General features: G+C 37.4%; 2 annotated features.

The window, feature by feature from the left end:
* Positions 5,617-6,201: an enhancer, noted in NCBI's record as "H3K27ac-H3K4me1 hESC enhancer chr7:113382595-113383179 (GRCh37/hg19 assembly coordinates)". NCBI's record gives its function as "activates a minimal SCP1, AML or CMV promoter by ChIP-STARR-seq in primed H9 embryonic stem cells {active_cell/tissue: H9 hESC(primed)}" and the evidence as "EXISTENCE:reporter gene assay evidence [ECO:0000049][PMID:30033119]".
* Positions 6,202-6,785: an enhancer, noted in NCBI's record as "NANOG-H3K27ac-H3K4me1 hESC enhancer chr7:113383180-113383763 (GRCh37/hg19 assembly coordinates)". NCBI's record gives its function as "activates a minimal SCP1, AML or CMV promoter by ChIP-STARR-seq in primed H9 embryonic stem cells {active_cell/tissue: H9 hESC(primed)}" and the evidence as "EXISTENCE:reporter gene assay evidence [ECO:0000049][PMID:30033119]".

Genomic DNA, 20,886 nt, shown 5'->3' on the forward strand with positions numbered 1-20,886 from the left:
CTTTTCTCTACCTTTAAGAGTGTTTTGTTTATTTGATGTGTAATGTCCAGGATCTTTAGCTGTACTTAGCCCGAGAAAAAAGGAAACGTATATCTCCTTTTTCCTCCCAGAAGCTGAATTCCTCTATTTAGATTTTTAACAACCATTATAATTGTATTAACAGTGCTGATATAACTATTTAGGTGATAGGTGGTAAACAGCATAAAGTCTAGAGTCAAATTAGGTCCAAATGTCAGATACGCTACTTGATTGCCTGTCAGAATTAATCTTGGGTTAGTTTCTTAAGCTTTCTACCTCAATTGTATAATGTAAAGAAAATGACAATTTTAGGATCTACAACATAAGATTAGTGTGAGGGTCTTGAATGTAAACTTTTAGAAAATAGGCTGGATATAGGAAGTGCCCAGTAAATTTTACTACTATTTTAGCTATTCTTACAATTATTAATTTAATGAAATTCATTTATTGCATATTATATGATCAATTTTTATAAGTGTAACATTTTTGCTTAGGAAAAAAGTTGTGCTTTCTGATTGTTGGATCCATGGTTCTGTGTATGTCTACTGTATTACACTTGCTAATTTTGTTGCTGAAATCTGTTGCATAATTTTATTCTGTTAATTTAATGGTTACAGACAGAAACATGTTAAATTTTCCCATTATGCTAGTGATTTGCTTTTTGTAATTATTTTGGTTTTTATTTATAAGTTTTACAACTATGTTACTGTATGAACAGTACAAAAGACTTTAAAATTATGCATTGGCTATGTTTCCCCTAATATAACTTTTTGCCTTAAAGCAGTTCTCTACCACCTCTCCACTGAAAATGACTGGTATAGTTTTGTATCCTTTTTTTTCACTTAGATTTTTAGATATATAACATAAACAGTTTCTGGGAAACATTATTTTAACAACTATGTCAATTTTCATTGTTCAGATTTACCATATTATTTGAAATTCCCCAATTGCTAAACATTAGCGTCATTCGTATTTTTTATCTTATATTTTATTATATATCATGCTGATATTTTAGTATTACCTGTAAATGATATGGCTCAGAGGCCAAGAAAACTTTTCTCTAAAAAGACAGATAGGAAATATTATAGGCTTTATAGGCTACATGGTCTCTGTTGAAGCTGTCCAATTCTACCATTGTAGCACAAAAGCTGCAGGGGAACTTCATAAATGAGTGAGCATGACTATGTTAAAATAAAATCTTATTTATAAATACAGGCAATGAGTCAGATTTTTCCCATAGGCTAATGATTATGACTCCTGATACACCTGTCTACTAAGTCATCTAAACATAATTAAAACAAAATATATAGTGCAGCAAAATTTAAATTCAAACTATATTAATATCAGTGCATTCTTTGATACTTTACATTTTTCCCACAGTTACTGACTTTGAATTCTTTATCCAATTTTGTATATGACATACTGATACAGTTTGGCTCTGTGTCCCTATCCAAATCTCATCTTGAATTGTAATCCCCACGTATTGAGGGGAGGGAGACTCTTGGATCATGAGGGTGATTTAACCATGCCATTCTCTGCTAGTGAGTGAGATCTTATGAGATGTGATGGTTTTGCAAGTGTTTGACAGTTCCTCTTTCACAAACTCTCTCTCCTGCTGCCTTGTGAAGAAGGTACCTGCATAAGGTGTAAGGAAGGGATCCAGTTTCAGCTTTCTACATATGGCCAGCCAGTTTTCCCAGCACCATTTATTAAATAGGGAATCCTTTCCCCATTGCTTGTTTTTCTCAGGTTTGTCAAAGATCAGATAGTTGTAGATATGCGGCATTATTTCTGAGGGCTCTGTTCTGTTCCATTGATCTATATCTCTGTTTTGGTACCAGTACCATGCTGTTTTGGTTACTGTAGCCTTGTAGTATAGTTTGAAGTCAGGTAGTGTGATGCCTCCAGCTTTGTTCTTTTGGCTTAGGATTGACTTGGTGATGCGGGCTCTTTTTTGGTTCCATATGAACTTTAAAGTAGTTTTTTCCAATTCTGTGAAGAAAAACATTGGTAGCTTGATGGGGATGGCATTGAATCTGTAAATTACCTTGGGCAGTATGGCCATTTTCATGATATTGATTCTTCCTACCCATGAGCATGGAGTGTTCTTCCATTTGTTTGTATCCTCTTTTATTTCATTGAGCAGTGGTTTGTTGTTCTCCTTGAAGAGGTCCTTCATGTCCCTTGTAAGTTGGATTCCTAGGTATTTTATTCTCTTTGAAGCAATTGTGAATGGGAGTTCACTCATGATTTGGCTCTCTGTTTGTCTGTTATTGGTGTGTAAGAATGCTTGTGAATTTTGTACATTGACTTTTTATCCTGAGACTTTGCTGAAGTTGCTTATCAGCTTAAGGAGATTTTCGGCTGAGATGATGGGGTTTTCTAGATATACAATCATGTCATCTGCAAACAGGGACAATTTGACTTCCTCTTTTCCTAATTGAATACCCTTTATTTTCTTCTCCTGCCTAATTGCCCTGGCCAGAACTTCCAACACTATGTTGAATAGGAGTGGTGAGAGAGGGCATCCCTGTCTTGTGCCACTTTTCAAAGGGAATGCTTCCAGTTTTTGCCCATTCAGTATGATATTGGCTGTGGGTTTGTCATAGGTAGCTCTCATTATTTTGAGATATGTCCCATCAATACCTAATTTATTGAGAGTTTTTAGCATGAAGCATTGTTGAATTTTGTCAAAGGCCTTTTCTGCATCTTTTGAGATAATCATGTGGTTTTTGTCTTTGATTCTGTTTATATGCTGGACTACATTTACTGATTTGCATATATTGAAACAGCCTTGCATCCCAGGGATGAAGCCCACTTGATCATGGTGGATAAGCTTTTTGATGTGCTGCGGGATTCGGTTTGCCAGTATTTTATTGAGGATTTTTGCATCAATGTTCATCAGGGATATTGGTCTAAAACTCTCTTTTTTGGTTGTGTCTCTGCCCGGCTTTGGTATCAGGATGATGCTGGCCTCATAAAATGAGTTAGGGAGGATTCCCTCTTTTTCTATTGATTGGAATAGTTTCAGAAGGAATGGTACCAGTTCCTCCTTGTAACTCTGGTAGAATTCGGCTGTGAATCCATCTGGTCCTGGACCCCTTTTGTTGCTAAGCTATTGATTATTGCCACAATTTCAGATCCTGTTATTGGTCTATTCAGAGATTCAACTTCTTCCTGGTTTAGTCTTGGGAGAGTGTATGTGTCGAGGAATTTATCCATTTCTTCTAGATTTTCTAGTTTATTTGCATAGAGGTGTTTGTAGTATTCTCTGATGGTAGTTTATTTCTGTGGGATCGGTGGTGATATCCTCTTTATCATTTTTTATTGCATGTATTTGATTCTTCTCTCTTTTTTTCTTTATTAATCTTGCTAGCAGTCTATCAATTTTGTTGATCCTTTCAAAAAACCACCTCCTGGATTCATTAATTTTTTGAAGGGTTTTTTTGTGTCTCTATTTCCTTCAGTTCTGCTCTGATTTTAGTTATTTCTTGCCTTCTGGTAGCTTTTGAATGTGTTTGTTCTTGCTTTTCTAGTTCTTTTAACTGTGATGTTAGGGTGTCAATTTTGGATCTTTCCTGCTTTCTCTTGTGGGCATTTAGTGCTATAAATTTCCCTCTACACACTGCTTTGAATGTGTCCCAGAGATTCTGGTATGTTGTGTGTTTGTTCTCGTTGGTTTCAAAGAACATCTTTATTTCTGCCTTCATTTCGTTATGTACCCAGTAGTCATTCAGGAGCAGGTTGTTCAGTTTCCATGTAGTAGAGTGGTTTTGAGTTAGTTTCTTAATCCTGAGTTCTAGTTTGATTGCACTGTGGTCTGAGAGACAGTTTGTTATAATTTCTGTTCTTTTACATTTGCTGAGGAGAGCTTTACGGATTAAAGACTGAAACGTTAGACCTAAAACCATAAAAACCCTAGAGGAAAACCTAGGCTTTACCATTCAGGACATAGGCATGGGCAAGGACTTCATGTCTAAAACACCAAAAGCAATGGCAACAAAAGACAAAATTGACAAATGGGATCTAATTAAACTAAAGAGCTTCTGCACAGCAAAAGAAACTACCATCAGAGTGAACAGGCAACCCTCAAAATGGGAGAAAATTTTTGCAACCTACTCATCTGACAAAGGGCTAATATCCAGAATCTACAATGAACTCAAACAAATTTACAACAAAAAAACAAACAACCCCATCAAAAAGTGGGCGAAGGACATGAACAACACTTCTCAAAAGAAGACATTTATGCAGCCAAAAAACACATGAAAAAATGCTCACCATCACTGGCCATCAGAGAAATGCAAATCAAAACCACAATGAGATACCATCTCACACCAGTTAGAATGGCAATCATTAAAAAGTCAGGAAACAACAGGTGCTGGAGAGGATGTGGAGAAATAGGAACCCTTTTACACTGTTGGTGGGACTGTAAACTAGTTCAACCATTGTGGAAGTCAGTGTGGTGATTCCTCAGGGATCTAGAACTAGAAATACCATTTGACCCAGCCATCCCATTACTGGGTATATACCCAAAAGACTATAAATCATGCTGCTATAAAGACACATGCACACGTATGTTTATTGCGGCACTATTCACAATAGCAAAGACTTGGAACCAATCCAAATGTCCAACAATGATAGACTGGATTAAGAAAATGTGGCACATATACACCATGGAATACTATGTAGCCATAAAAAATGATGAGTTCATGTCCTTTTTAGGGACGTGGATGAAATTGGAAATCATCATTCTCAGTAAACTATCGCAAGGACAAAAAACCAAACACCGCATGTTCTCACTCATAGGTGGGAATTGTACAATGAGAACACATGGACACAGGAAGGGGAACATCACACTCTGGGGACTGTTGTGGGGTGGGGGTAGGGGGTAGGGATAGCATTAGGAGATATACCTAATGCTAAATGACGAGTTCATGGGTGCAGCACACCAGCATGGCACATGTACACATATGTAACTAACCTGCACATTGTGCACATGTACCCTAAAAGTATAATAATAATAATAATAATAAAAAAAAAGGTAACTGCTTCCCCTTCCACCATGACTGTAATTTTCCTGAGGCCTTCCCAGCCATGTGGAACTGTGAGTCAATTAAACCTCTTTCCTTTATAAATTACTCAGTCTCAGGGAAGTTCTTTATAGCAGTGTGAAAATGGACTAATACACATACATTTGGGTTATATTTTTTGGTCCACTCTGAAAAATCTGTCTTTTAACTGGCACATTTAGAATACTGATGTTCAAAGCAATTCTTGATGTAGTTGGATTAATATGTATCATATTTTTTACTGTTTTCTATTTGCTTCCCTTGTTCTTTGTTTCTGTTTGGGTCCTCTGCTCTTTTTCTGCTTCCTGAGGTTTCAATTGAGCATTTTGTGATTCCATTTTTTCTTCTTTTTATCTATCAGTTATACTTTATCTTTTTACTGATTGCCCGAGAGTTTGCAATACATTTACAGCTAACCCATGTTCACATTAAATATATCACTATACCTCTTAATAGGTAGTGTAAGTAGCTGTTAATAAAAAATAATTCTAATTCCTCCCTACCATCCCTTATATCTTTGCTGTCCATCTATTTGACTTGTATATAGGCATTCATAAGCAGCACACACACACACACACATATACACACACACACAAGTCATATATATGGGCATACATAAGCACATACATTGTTACTATTTCAAGAAAATTGTTATCTGCCAGATCAATTAAGAATAAGAAAAATCAAATATTTTGTTTTACCTTCATTTATTCCTTTTCCAATGTTCATTCTCTGTTTATATAGATCTGAGTTTTTTATCGATATCACTTTCCTTCCCTCTGAAGAACTTTAACCATTTTATACGACATGTCTACTGGCAACAAAATCCCTCAATTTTTGTTTGTCTGAGAAAGTCTTCATTTCTCTGTCACTTTGAAAAATAAAATTTCGGAGAAGGAGCCAAGATGGCCGAATAGGAAAAGCTCCAGTCTACAGCTCCCAGCGTGAGCGACGCAGAAGATGGTGATTTCTGCATTTCCATCTGAGGTACCGGGTTCACCTCACTAGGGAGTGCCAGACAGTGGGCGCAGATCAGTGGGTGCGCACACCGTGCGCGAGCCGAAGTAGGGTGAGGCATTGCCTCACTTGGGAAGCGCAAGGGGTCAGGGAGTTCCCTTTCCGAGTCAAAGAAAGGGGTGACGGACGGCACCTGGAAAATCGGGTCGCTCCCACCCGAATACTGCGCTTTTCTGACGGGCTTGAAAAATGGCGAACCACGAGATTATATCCCGCACCTGGCTCGGAGGGTCCTACGCCCACGGAGTCTCGCTGATTGCTAGCACAGCAGTCTGAGATCAAACCGCAAGGCGGAAGCGAGGCTGGGGGAGGGGCGCCCGCCATTGCGCAGGCTTTCTTAGGTAAACAAAGCAGCCTGAAAGCTCCAACTGGGCGGAGCCCACCACAGCTCACAGAGGCAGGCGCTCCACCTCTGGGGGCAGGGCACAGACAAACAAAAAGACAGCAGTAACCTCTGCAGACTTAAATGTCCCTGTCTGACAGCTTTGAAGAGAGCAGTGGTTCTCCCACCACACAGCTGGAGATCTGAGAACGGGCAGACTGCCTCCTCAAGTGGGTCCCTGACCCCTGACCCCCTAGCAGCCTAACTGGGAGGCACCCCCCAGCAGGGGCACAGTGACACCTCACACGGCAGGGTATTCCAACAGACCTGCAGCTGAGGGTCCTGTCTGTTACAAGGAAAACTAACAAACAGAAAGGACATCCACACCAAAAACCCCTCTCTACATCACCATCATCAAAGACCAAAAGTAGATAAAACCACAAAGATGGGGAAAAAACAGAACAGAAAAACTGGAAACTCTAAAAAGCAGAGCGCCTCTCCTCCTCCAAAGGAACGCAGTTCCTCAACAGCAATGGAACAAAGCTGGATGGAGAATGACTTTGACGAGCTGAGAGAAGAAGGCTTCAGAGGATCAAATTACTCTGAGCTATGGGAGGACATTCAAACCAAAGGCAAAGAAGTTGAAAACTTTGAAAAAAATTTAGAAGAATGTATAACTAGAATAACCAATACAGAGAAGTGCTTAAAGGAGCTGATGGAGCTGAAAACCAAGGCTCAAGAACTACGTGAAGAATGCAGAAGCCTCAGGAGCCGATGCGATCAACTGGAAGAAAGGGTATCAGCGATGGAAGATGAAATGAATGAAATGAAACGAGAAGGGAAGTTTAGAGAAAAAAGATTAAAAAGAAATGAGCAAAGCCTCCAAGAAATATGGGACTATGTGAAAAGACCAAATCTACGTCTGATTGGTGTACCTGAAAGTGATGGGGAGAATGGAACCAAGTTGGAAAACACTCTGCAGGATATTATCCAGGAGAACTTCCCCAATCTAGCAAGGCAGGCCAACCTTCAGATTCAGGAAATACAGAGAACGCCACAAAGATACTCCTCTAGAAGAGCAACTCCAAGACACATAATTGTCAGATTCACCAAAGTTGAAATGAAGGAAAAAATGTTAAGGGCAGCCAGAGAGAAAGGTCGGGTTACCCTCAAAGGGAAGCCCATCAGACTAACAGCGGATCTCTCGGCAGAAACCCTACAAGCCAGAAGAGAGTGGGGGCCAATATTCAACATTCTTAAAGAAAAGAATTTTCAACCCAGAATTTCATATCCAGCCAAACTAAGCTTCATAAGCAAAGGAGAAATAAAATACTTTACAGATAAGCAAATGCTGAGAGATTTTGTCACCACCAGGCCTGCCGTACAAGAGCTCCTGAAGGAAGCGCTAAACATGGAAAGGAACAACCGGTACCAGCCGGTGCAAAATCATGCCAAAATTTAAAGACCATCCAGACTAGGAAGAAACTGCATCAACTAACGAGCAAAATCACCAGCTAACATCATAATGACAGGATCAAATTCACACATAAGAATATCAACTTTAAATGTAAATGGACTAATTGCTCCAATTAAAAGACACAGACTGGCAAATTGGATAAAGAGTCAAGACCCATCAGTGTGCTGTATTCAGGAAACCCATCTCACATGCAGAGACACACATAGGCTCAAAATAAAAGGATGGAGGAAGATCTACCAAGCCAATGGAAAACAAAAAAAGGCAGGGGTTGCAATCCTAGTCTCTGATAAAACAGACTTTAAACCAACAAAGATCAAAAGAGACAAAGAAGGCCATTACATAATGGTAAAGGGATCAATTCAACAAGAAGAGCTAACTATCCTAAATATATATGCACCCAATACAGGAGCACCCAGATACATAAAGCAAGTCCTGAGTGACCTACAAAGAGACTTAGACTCCCACACATTAATAATGGGAGACTTTAACACCCCACTGTCAACATTAGACAGATCAATGAGACAGAAAGTCAACAAGGATACCCAGGAATTGAACTCAGCTCTGCACCAAGCGGACCTAATAGACATCTACAGAACTCTCTACCCCAAATCAACAGAATATACATTTTTTTCAGCACCACACCACACTTATTCCAAAATTGACCACATACTTGGAAGTAAAGCTCTCCTCAGCAAATGTAAAAGAGCAGAAATTATAACAAACTATCTCTCAGACCACAGTGCCATCAAACTAGAACTCAGGATTAAGAATCTCACTCAGAACTGCTCAACTACATGGAAACTGAACAACCTGCTCCTGAATGACTACTGGGTACATAATGAAATGAAGGCAGAAATAAAGATGTTCTTTGAAGCCAACGAGAACAAAGACCCCACATACCAGAATCTCTGGGACGCATTCAAAGCAGTGTGTAGAGGGAAATTTATAGCACTAAATTCCAACAAGAGAAAGCAGGAAAGATCCAAAATTGACACCCTAACATCACAATTAAAAGAACTAGAAAAGCAAGAGCAAACACATTCAAAAGCTAGCAGAAGGCAAGAAATAACTAAAATCAGAGCAGAACTGAAGGAAATAGAGACACAAAAAAACCCTTCAAAAAATTAATGAATCCAGGAGGTGGTTTTTTGAAAGGATCAACAAAATTGATAGACCGCTAGCAAGACTAATAAAGAAAAAAAGAGAGAAGAATCAAATAGACGCAATAAAAAATGATAAAGGGGATATCACCACCGATCCCACAGAAATACAAACTACCATCAGAGAATACTACAAACACCTCTACACAAATAAACTAGAAAATCTAGAAGAAATGGATAAATTCCTCGACACGTACACTCTCTCCCAAGACTAAACCAGGAAGAAGTTGAATCTCTGAATAGACCAATAACAGGATCTGAAATTGTGGCAATAATCAATAGCTTACCAACCAAAAAGAGTCCAGAACCAGATGGATTCACAGCCAAATTCTACCAGAGTTACAAGGAGGAACTGGTACCATTCCTTCTGAAACTATTCCAATCAATAGAAAAAGAGGGAATCCTCCCTAACTCATTTTATGAGGCCAGCATCATTCTGATACCAAAGCCAGGCAGAGACACAACCAAAAAAGAGAATTTTAGACCAATATCCTTGATGAACATTGATGCAAAAATCCTCAATAAAATACTGGCAAACTGAATCCCACAGCACATCAAAAAGCTTATCCACCATGATCAAGTGGGCTTCATCCCTGGGATGCAAGGCTGGTTCAATATACGCAAATCAATAAATGTAATCTAGCATATAAACAGAGCCACAGACAAAAGCCACATGATTATCTCAATAGATGCAGAAAAGGCCTTTGACAAAATTCAACAACCCTTCATGCTAAAAACTCTCAATAAATTAGGTATTGATGGGACGTATCTCAAAATAATAAGAGCTATCTATGACAAACCCACAGCCAATATCATACTGAATGGGCAAAACCTGGAAGCATTCCCTTTGAAAACTGGCACAAGACAGGGATGCCCTCTCTCACCACTCCTATTCAACATAGTGTTGGAAGTTCTGGCCAGGGCAATTAGGCAGGAGAAGGAAATAAAGGGTATTCAATTAGGAAAAGAGGAAGTCAAATTGTCCCTGTTTGCAGATGACATGATTGTATATCTAGAAAACCCCATCATCTCAGCCGAAAATCTCCTTAAGCTGATAAGCAACTTCAGCAAAGTCTCAGGATAAAAAAATCAATGTACAAAAATCACAAGCATTCTTACACACCAATAACAGACAAACAGAGAGCCAAATCATGAGTGAACTCCCATTCACAATTGCTTCAAAGAGAATAAAATACTTAGGAATCCAACTTAAAGGGATGTGAAGGACCTCTTCAAGGAGAACTACAAACTACTGCTCAAGGAAATAAAAGAGGACACAAACAAATGGAAGAACATTCCATGCTCATGGGTAGGAAGAATCAATATCATGAAAATGGCCATACTGCCCAAGGTAATTTACAGATTCAATGCCATCCCCATCAAGCTACCAATGTCTTTCTTCACAGAATTGGAAAAAACTACTTTAAAGTTCATATGGAACCAAAAAAGAGCCCGCATCACCAAGTCAATCCTAAGCCAAAAGAACAAAGCTGGAGGCATCATGCTACCTGACATCAAACTATACTACAAGGCTACAGTAACCAAAACAGCATGGTACTGGTACCAAAACAGAGATACAGACCAATGGAACAGAACAGAGCCCTGAGAAATAATGCCACATATCTAAAACTATCTGATCTTTGACAAACCTGACAAAAACAAGCAACGGGGAAAGGATTCCCTGTTTAATAAATGGTGCTGGGAAAACTGGCTAGCCATATGTAGAAAGCTGAAACTGGATCCCTTCCTTACACCTTATACAAAAATCAATTGAAGATGGATTAAAGACTTAAACGTTAGACCTAAAACCATAAAAACCCTAGAAGAAAACCTAGGCTTTACCATTCAGGACATAGGCATGGGCAAGGACTTCATGTCTAAAACACCAAAAGCAATGGCAACAAAAGACAAAATTGACCAATGGGATCTAATTAAACCAAAGAGCTTCTGCACAGCAAAAGAAACTACCATCAGAGTGAACAGGCAACCTACAAAATGGGAGAAAATTTTCGCAACCTACTCATCTGACAAAGGGCTAATATCCAGAATCTACATTGAACTCAAACAAATTTACAAGAAAAAAACAAACAACCCCATCAAAAAGTGGGCGAAGGACATGAATAGACACTTCTCAAAAGAAGACATTTATGCAGCCAAAAAACACATGAAAAAATGTTCATCATCACTGGCCATCAGAGAAATGCAAATCAAAACCACAATGAGATACCATCTCACACCAGTTAGAACGGCAATCATTAAAAAGTCAGGAAACAACAGGTGCTGGAGAGGATGTGGAGAAATAGGAACACTTTTACACTGTTGGTGGGACTGTAAACTAGTTCAACCATTGTGGAAATCAGTGTGGCCATTCCTCAGGGATCTAGAACTGGAAGTACCATTTGACCCAGCCATCCCATTACTGGGAATGTACCCAAAGGACTATAAATCATGCTGCTATAAAGACACATGCACATGTATGTTTATTGCGGCATTATTCACAATACCGAAGACTTGGAACCAACCCAAATGTCCAACAATGATAGACTGGATTAAGAAAATGTGGCACATATACACCATGGAATACTATGCAGCCATAAAAAAGGATGAGTTCACGTCCTTTGTAGGGACATGGATGAAATTGGAAGTCATCATTCTCAGTAAACTATCGCAAGAACAAAAAACCAAACACCATATATTCTCAGTCATAGGTGGGAATTGAACAATGAAATCACATGGACACAGGAAGGGGAATATCACACTCTGGGGACAGTTGTGGGGTGGGGCGTGGGGGGAGGGATAGCATTGGGAGATATACCTAATGCTAGATGACGAGTTGGTGGGTACAGCGCACCAGCATGGCATATGTATACATATGTAACTAACCTGCACAATGTGCACATGTACCCTAAAACTTTAATAAAATAATAATAATAATAATAATAATAATAAAAGTTAAGCAAATTTTGAAGAAAAAAAAAGAAAAAGAAAATTTCAGGGTACAAAATTCTAGGTTGGTGGGTTTTTTTGCTCAACGCTTTAAATATTTCACTCTACTTTTTTCTTGCTTGCATGGTTTCTGAGAAGTTCGATGTAATACCTACCTTTGCTCCTCTATAGGTAAAGTGTTTATTTCCTCTGGCTTTTTTTTTTCAGGATTTTCTTTATCTTTGATTTTGTGTAGTTTGAAAATGGTATGTCTAGATGTTGTCTTTTTGGCATTTATCCTGCCTGGTGTTCTCTGAGCCTCCTACATTTGTGGTTTCATGTATGACATTAATTTGGAGAATTTTTCAGTCAGTATTACTTCAAATATTTCTTCTGTTCCTGTCTCTCTTTCTTATCCTGCTGCTAATTCCTATTATGTATATATTATTGCTTTTACAGTTGCCCTACAGCCCTTGGCTATTCTATTCTGGCTTTTTCAGTCTGTGTTCTCTTGCCTTTTCAGTTTTGAAGGTTGTTATCGATACATCCCCAAGTTCAGAGAGTCTTTCCTCAACTCTGTGCAATCATGCTACTAATAAGCCCATCAAAGGCATTCTTCATTTCTGTTACATGATTTTGATCTCTAGAATTTCTTCTTGGTGCTTTCTTAGAATTTCTTCTCCTTACATTGCCCATCTGTTTTTGCCTGCTGTCTACTTTATCCATTAGAACCCTAGCATATTAATCACAGTTATTTTAAATTCCTGGTTAGAAAATTTCAACATCCCTGCCACATATGGTTCTCATGCTTGCTCTGTCTCACAAAAAGTCTGTGTTTTTTGTCCTTTAGTATGTCTTGTATTTTTTCCTTTTAGTTGTACATGATGTACCAGATAAAAGGAACTGCTGTAAATAGGTCTTTAGTAATGTGGAGGCACGGTGGGGCAGGGGGGAATACCTATAGTTCTGTGATTGCGTCTCAGTCTTTAGTGAGCTTGTGCCTCTGAACTGTGAAAATCACAAGTGTTTTTCAATTTTTCTCTAACCTCTTAGGTGAAACAGAAAGAATACAATGTGTTGACGTTGGGTATTTTTCTTTCCCCAGATCAGTTAGGATCTGATAATATACCAGCAGATTAGCCCTGGTTAACTAGTTTCTCCTGAGGGTAGGCCTTGGAAAAAAAAAAAAAAAAGAAACAAACTAAGAAAGGAAGGAAAAGAAAAGAAAAAAGAAACGAAAAGGAAAAAGACAACAGAGTGCTCTGGTGTGTTTCAAAATAGATCCTCTTCTTGCTTAAAGCATGAGGGGATGTTTCTCCAATATTTTCCTATGAGAACCTGATTGATCTCCTGGTTGAGATAAAACTCACAAAATTGTAGGGGCTCCTCTGTGGCTGGGTCCAGCGCAGTTTTTAATTCTCAGACTTTTCCACGCTAAGCCTCCAGCAATTTGTCAATTCCAATTCAGATATTCCTACCACAGCACTGGTTCCTGCTGGTTTCCACTCATGAGGATCTGCAACCGGAAGCCATGACTCCCTATACTGGCCTGTCTGTCTCTCCAATCTTGTAGGCAGTAGTTTGCCCTGTGTAGTTACCTCTCTTACAGATCCAAGAGGAGTGTTGATTTCTCAATCTGTTCAGCTTTTTACTGTTGTTAGGACAGGGTGGGAACTTAAGCTCCTTGCATGCATTGGTGGAAACCAGAAGTCTGTTTTATTAAATTTGGATAATTTATATAACATATTTTTTTCAAAAATCATGTATTATATTGCAATTTAAATTTATGAGCATAAGAGTATACATATAGTTATTTGTTTTTAATTTTCTCCATCACTTCAAATTCTTCACTTTTAGTTAAAAGTGCTCTTGTGTTTTCCTTGTGTGTTTAATGCAAGAAAAAGTTTTGAGCCAGGTCACATTGAAGCTCTGTAATATTGTTTTGAATTGATGTATATGATTTCTCTTTCAGAACAGTATTGTAAGGGAAGTTAAGATTACAGACCATCTGTCTCAGATTGATCTTACTTGTGCCACTTCCAGTCTTTGTGACCATGGGTGGTCATTAACTCTCCAAGAGTCCCCTTTCCTCCTCTCAGATAGATATCATAAAATTTACCAGATAGTGTTGCAGTAAGGGTGAACACTGATATATAAAATAACAGCTATAAAATTATAAAATAATAAGTGCATGCAGGCAATTAGTATAGTCTCTGCCTTCTAGGAGGTACTTCTAAATGTTACTTTTTGGCTACTTTAGAATATAATAAAGGACTATATTATAATGATATTCTTTATATTTTCAAATTTATTAATAAAACATTTTCATTTATATTTTCAGTGGATTTGTCTTGAATATTATATAATATGTAATTATTAATGTTAATTACTAAGGAAGTTTTTTGATAAAGTAATTTCTCAAAAAGAAAACAAGCCAAAGTAAAGAAATTCATCATGTTCACTTTATTAAGTGGATATTCATTTTCTTATGTGTCCTCTCTGTTCATATTTGACCATTATGCTCTCATTATCTTGACACATCCCATATTTAATCTCCATTTTTCCATGCTTTCTCCTCTCTTGTGATTGCCCATAGATCCATGATTTATCAGGTCACATGCATAAGAATTTTCAATATTTAAACACCAAAACAATTTGGAAATTTTAGGCTTGATGATAAGTGATTAAAATGTTTAAATACTTTCATTAAGCAAGGGGGTTCAGCTATATTAAAGAGGCCTAAAAACACTTGATCCTAATATTCTGTTTTTCAATCTAGGTCTTGCCCTGTGACCTAATTGGCTAGAAATTGAAACTGACCAGAAACATGTCATGTGCATTTGGGCAACTGTTTGCAGGAGCAGAAGTTAATCTTAAGCAAGTGTGCTACCCACAACTGCCAAAACTTGTCCTTAAAAGAATGTTTTTCCATTTACTAAGTTATATTCAGTATACGGATTTGTCCATCACATAAAATCCTCTTTCTTCTTTTAGGTGAATGAATGAAAAAAATAATATTTAGACCAAAACATTGTTAAGTAGCTATGCAAACACATCTCTTAATTCTCCATCAATTAATGTTAAACCAATGCTCTTACCTTGAATATCTGCTTTATATCTTTTTCTTTTTCTCTATAACATCATTCAACCTGTAGTCAGTGGTTTTTCTTATTTATTTATTTATTCATTAATTTATTTATACCTATGTTTTAGGTTCCTACTATATGCCAGAGATTTTTTTTTCAGGTGCTGGAACTACAATAGTGAACATAACAAACAAAAAAATCTCTATAGATTATGTAGAATGTTTATTCTAGTGGGGAAAATAGATGGTAAATAAAGTGTGACAAGAATGGAAGAGCAAAGCGTGCAAGGAGAATGGATAGTTGTGGAGCACAAACCGTAAACTTTTTACTGAAGTGTAGCATACACACAGAAAAGTGCACCAATTATAAGTGTGCAGCTCAATGAATTTTCACAATGTGAGCACACTTAGGTAACCATCATCAGGATTAAGAAGCAGAACATCAGGAGAGTTTCAGTAGCCCTTCATGTCCCATTCCAGGCATTTCCTCCTCACAACACACCTCCCCACCCCTACCTGCTGCTGAGGGTAACACTATCCTGTTTTCACTCCAGAGCCCTGCCACACTGGCAAGAACTGTATGGTATGACTTCTGGTAGGATGAGAGCATTCTATTTGAGACCCAAGAGGAGACCAGATTTCCTCATTTCATGACTGCTATGGTGCTTTTCTCATTATATAACAACACGAAAATCCCCATCATCCAGCCTCTTAAGCTCTTGAGACTTAACCATTTCATAGCCACTATAAAGACACAGTTTTAACTAACTGCCAAAGTATATCATGTAATCACAAAAGGATCCAATGAAGTAGGGACTATTTATAATTATTCCACATCTAGAGTTGATGAAAGTGAGGATAAGTTATTTAGCAAAAGTCCACGATTAATAAATGGCTGAGTCAGGATTATAACCCACATAAGTCTGATTCTAAAGCATAAATTCTTTTCTTTTTCTTTTTAATTATATTTTAAGTTCCGGGATACATGTGCAAGACATGCAGGTTTGTTACACAGGTAAACGTGTGCCATGGTAGTTTGCTGCACCTATCAATCCATCACTTAGGTATTAAGCCCCACATTAAAGCATAAATTCTTAATGACAAGTCTATTCTCCCATTCTGCACCAGATTTCAATAACTGTAATATTATTGAAACACTCTCTTCTATTCTGCCTCAAATGTTTCACATTCAGCAATTCATTGTGAAAATTGCATTCATCATTTGGTACTTTTGGAAGTTAAATGTAGAAGAAAAGATAAAGAGGAAGCCTGTTAGAAATGATGTATCCAGTAAAAACAAGTATTCTATAAATCTTCATGCAGACCCTTCCACCTTAGATGCTGTATTATATCCTTGGCATTTAACTATTTAAAATCATGAAAATTTCCTCTTGGCTATGATTGGATTCACAAATAACCATTTCCTGAAAAATTAATGTATTACACCTTCTGAAATATTTTTAACTTTTTAAATCAATAACATTTACCTGGAATTGGGTCATTAAGTTGGTACAGGATATTTTATTTATATTTAAAGGCTTAAAATCAAAATCCTTTTAAAATGTGACCATCCCTTAATCAATGAAGGTAAAATTTCCAAAGAATAGATTTTAACTATCATTAGGCTTATAGCAGAAACAATGTTCTCTAATAAATAAATTCACACCAAAAAAGATTAAGATTTCACCTTTTTAGCTTTGTACCTGATATTGTGCTTCTAGGAGGCAAAACACATAGTTACTTTAATAAAAAAAATTTGTCCCATAGTTCAAGTATAGAGTAACAGGTTGATGATGAAATAGAATTTTTTTCTGCAGGATCAAACTCTCACATTATTCCTGATATATTAATACATAGGACTCTGTGCCTTTGATTTAAACAGTCTTTAAGGAAGAAGAAAAGCTTATTAAAATTAATTTTTCCCTTAGGAATTATTCTGGATTTTCACACACACTACACAAGTGAAATGGCTTTTTAAAACTCATGCTTTTTGTCATCCTAATTGTTTTACACATCTTGGCAACTTTTCACACCCTGCATAAAACAGGGGTTCATTAGGAGTCATTAAAAGAAAATATTTTTCTTGGAAATACATTAAAGCATTTCCACATTATTTTATGCCATTTTCAGAAAAGAGATGTAAATTGTGACTAAGCACGAAGCAAAAAGGGTCACTTAACAATAATGCAGGAAACAGCCTCTCAGCGACAACATTTCAGAAATGAGAAGTTGATGGGATTTGGAAATTGAATCATCATTCCCTTACAATAAATGTTTAACATTGTATTTTTTTTAGCTATTAAGTGATTAGGCAATGTTTTTATTTATTTTAGAACAAGAAAATACATATAAGGAAAACAAAAAATAAAATCAAAATCAAAGATGAAGATTGTATTAATAGTTTATTCTTACCAAATGATTTCTTGAAAGAAGATAGATATGGATAGGGCAGGGATGGGAGTGGAAGGAAGTTAAGGTAATTTAGCGCAAGTATGCAGTTCAGTGGTGACTTGTTGAAAAAAGAAAAAACATAGTTATGTATTTTGGTATTACCCATGTGTAAATCATACAAACGGATATATCTGATTTTACAGCTACTTTATGGAGGATCCAAAGTAGTACTATTAGATCTCTAAGAACAACAACAACAAAATAATTAAATCATTGTCATTCAAATGAAGCACCAATAGGAACAGCACATAAAATGCATTCCCTAAGTTTATTTCTCAGAGCAACCTGCTTTACTGAGTCATACACAATTATATGTGTGCGGACTTAAATCAATCATTAGAACCCTGTACTAGTGACATGTACACTCTGACCATGCCTATATGATTTCCATAATAAGCTAGGCAATAAATCAGATCATCAAATGAATTGTCTGAGCCAAACACATAAGGCAGCCAATGCTGACTTTTGATCATATGACAAGGGAAGGGTCATCTTAACCACTGTAACAGGGATTACTTTAATACCTACCACTATGTTTGAGTCAAGTCATAGAAGTCATTTTGCTCCTTCATGTAAAGACTGCCTTAACCTCTCCTTTTGGTGGGAGAGGGATGGTGGGGAGATATATATATACACATATATATATGTGTATATATATATACCCATTTCAACATTTCTTTTTAAATAATGAGATTTACAGAAATGTTACAAAGATAGTATTGCTAAACCTTCATCCAGCTTCCCCTATTGTTGCCACCTCACATAACCATGCACATTTATCAAAACAATTAAATGAATATTACCTAAATTATAGACTATACACTATTATAAAACCATTAACTAAACTACAGACTTTATTCAGATATTGTATATTTTTCCACTGATGTCCTTTTTATGTTCCCAGATCTACTCCAGGTTATCTCATTCTATTCAGTCATGATATTTCCTTAGTCTCCTGTAATCTGTGATAATTTATCCGTCCTTCCATATCTTTCATGACCTTGATACTTTCAGAGAGTTTAGGGTCCAGTATTTTGTAGAATTTTACTCAGTTTGGGCTGGTCTGCTGTTTTCTCATGATTAGCTTGGGGTTATAAGATTTGGGGAAAGAATATCACAGAGATGATGTGCCCCTCTGATTGCATTATATGAGGTCAACTCCTTCTGTTAAAATTCATTATAATTTGTTACCCATTAGAAATCATTTTTGTGGTACAGACTTCTGGGTATGCAAGCCACAGTCATATTAGCCTTTCTTAGTCTAATAAAAGTAGTTGAAAACGTCAAAAAAAAGTCAAGGCAATTTTGCGGACTAAGTAGAATATTAACAGGGGCTAAGAAACTCTGAAAATTGTTTTCAAGGGTCTCAGAGTCATTTTATGCTATTTATTTGTTTATTTTTATTTTATTTTATTTTATTTTTTTTGAGACGGAGTCTTGCTCTGTTGCCCAGCCTACAGTGCAGTGGCGGGATTTCCACTTACTGCAAGCTCCACCTCCCGGGTTCACGCCATTCTCCTGCCTCAGCCTCCCGAGTAGCTGGGACTACAGGCACCTGCAACCACGCCCGGCTAATTTATTGTATTTCTAGTAGAGATGGAGTTTCACCGTGTTAGCCAGGATGGTCTCGATCTCCTGACCTCATGACCCGCCCGCCTTGGCCTCCCAAAGGCCTGGGATTACAGACGTGAACCACCGTGCCTGGCCATTGTATGCTATTTTAATTGAACACCCCCAACATGCAGAATTGACATCTGCGTTTTTAGTCAACTCAATTAAGAATAAATAACATCAATGACAACTGTATTTTGTTTACTATTTATGTTACCCATGTTCAATGAATATTCACACTAAGGCAGCTTCTGCATCAGGAGAAAGGTAATGATTAATTCAATGTTTGCTGAACTTGGCCTGATAGATGGTGAAGGGATTGTATCCGAAGACACATTTATACTCAGTTAGCTGAAAATACACTTTGTTAAACTTTTTGTTTACAAATCAGCCATGGGTTTCACAAAATTTGGTTACACAGGTAGACTTTGGAGCCTGACAGCTTGGTTGAAATTCTTGTCCCTCCCCTTTGAGCTGCTGAGTCACTATTCCTTGCCCCACAATTTCCTCTGTTTCTAGGATTATTAAGAATATACTTTACAGACAAGCAAATGCTGAGAGATTTTGTCACCACCAGGCCTGCCCTAAAAGAGCTCCTGAAGAAAGCACTAAACCTGGAAAGGAACAACCAGTACCAGCCACTGCAAAAACATGCCAAATTGTAAAGACCATCGAGGCTAGGAAGAAACTGCATCAAGTAACAAGCAAAATAACCAGCTAACATCATAATGACAGGATCAAATTCACACATAACAATATTAACCTTAAATGTAAATGGGCTAAATGCTCCAATTAAAAGACACAGACTGGCAAATTGGATAAAGAGTCAAGAACCATCAGTGTGCTGTATTCAGGAGACCCATCTCACGTGCAGAGACACACATAGGCTCAAAATAAAGGGATGGAGGAAGATCTACCAAGCAAATGGAAAACAAAAAAAGGCAGGGGTTGCAATCCTAGTCTCTGATGAAACAGACTTTAAACCAACAAAGATCAAAAGAGACAAAGAAGGCCATTATATAATGGTAAAGGGATCAATTCAACAAGAAGAGCTAACTGTCCTAAATATATATGCACCCAATACAGGAGCGCCCAGATTCATAAAGCAAGTCCTTAGAGACCTACAAAGAGACTTAGACTCCCATACAATAATAATGGGAGACTTTAACACCCCACTGACAACATTAGACAGATCAACGAGACAGAAAGTTTACAAGGATATCCAGAAATTGAACTCAGCTCTGCACCAAGTGGACCTAATAGACATCTACAGAACTCTCCACCCCAAATAGACAGAATATACTTTCTTTTCAACACCACACCAAACCTATTCCAAAATTGACCACATAGTTGGAAGTAAAGCACTCCTCAGCAAATGTAAAAGAACAGAAATTTTAACAAACTATCTCTCAGACCACAATGCAATCAAACTAGAACTCAGGATTAAGAAACTCACTCAAAACTGCTCCACTACATGGAAACTGAACAACCTGCTCCTGAATGACTACTGGGTACATAACGAAATCAAGGCAGAAATAAAGATGTTCTTTGAAACCAACGAGAACAAAGACACAACATACCAGAAGCTCTGGGACACATTTAAAGCAGTGTGTAGAGGGAAATTTTAGCGCTAAATGCCTACAAGAGAAAGCAGGAAAGATCTAAAATTGACACCCTAACATCACAATTAAAAGAACCAGAGAAACAAGAGCAAACACATTCAAAAGCTAGCAGAAGGTAAGAGATAACTA

This window comes from Homo sapiens, chromosome 7, assembly GCF_000001405.40.
Source record: "Homo sapiens chromosome 7, GRCh38.p14 Primary Assembly".
Taxonomy (NCBI): Eukaryota; Metazoa; Chordata; class Mammalia; order Primates; family Hominidae; genus Homo; species Homo sapiens.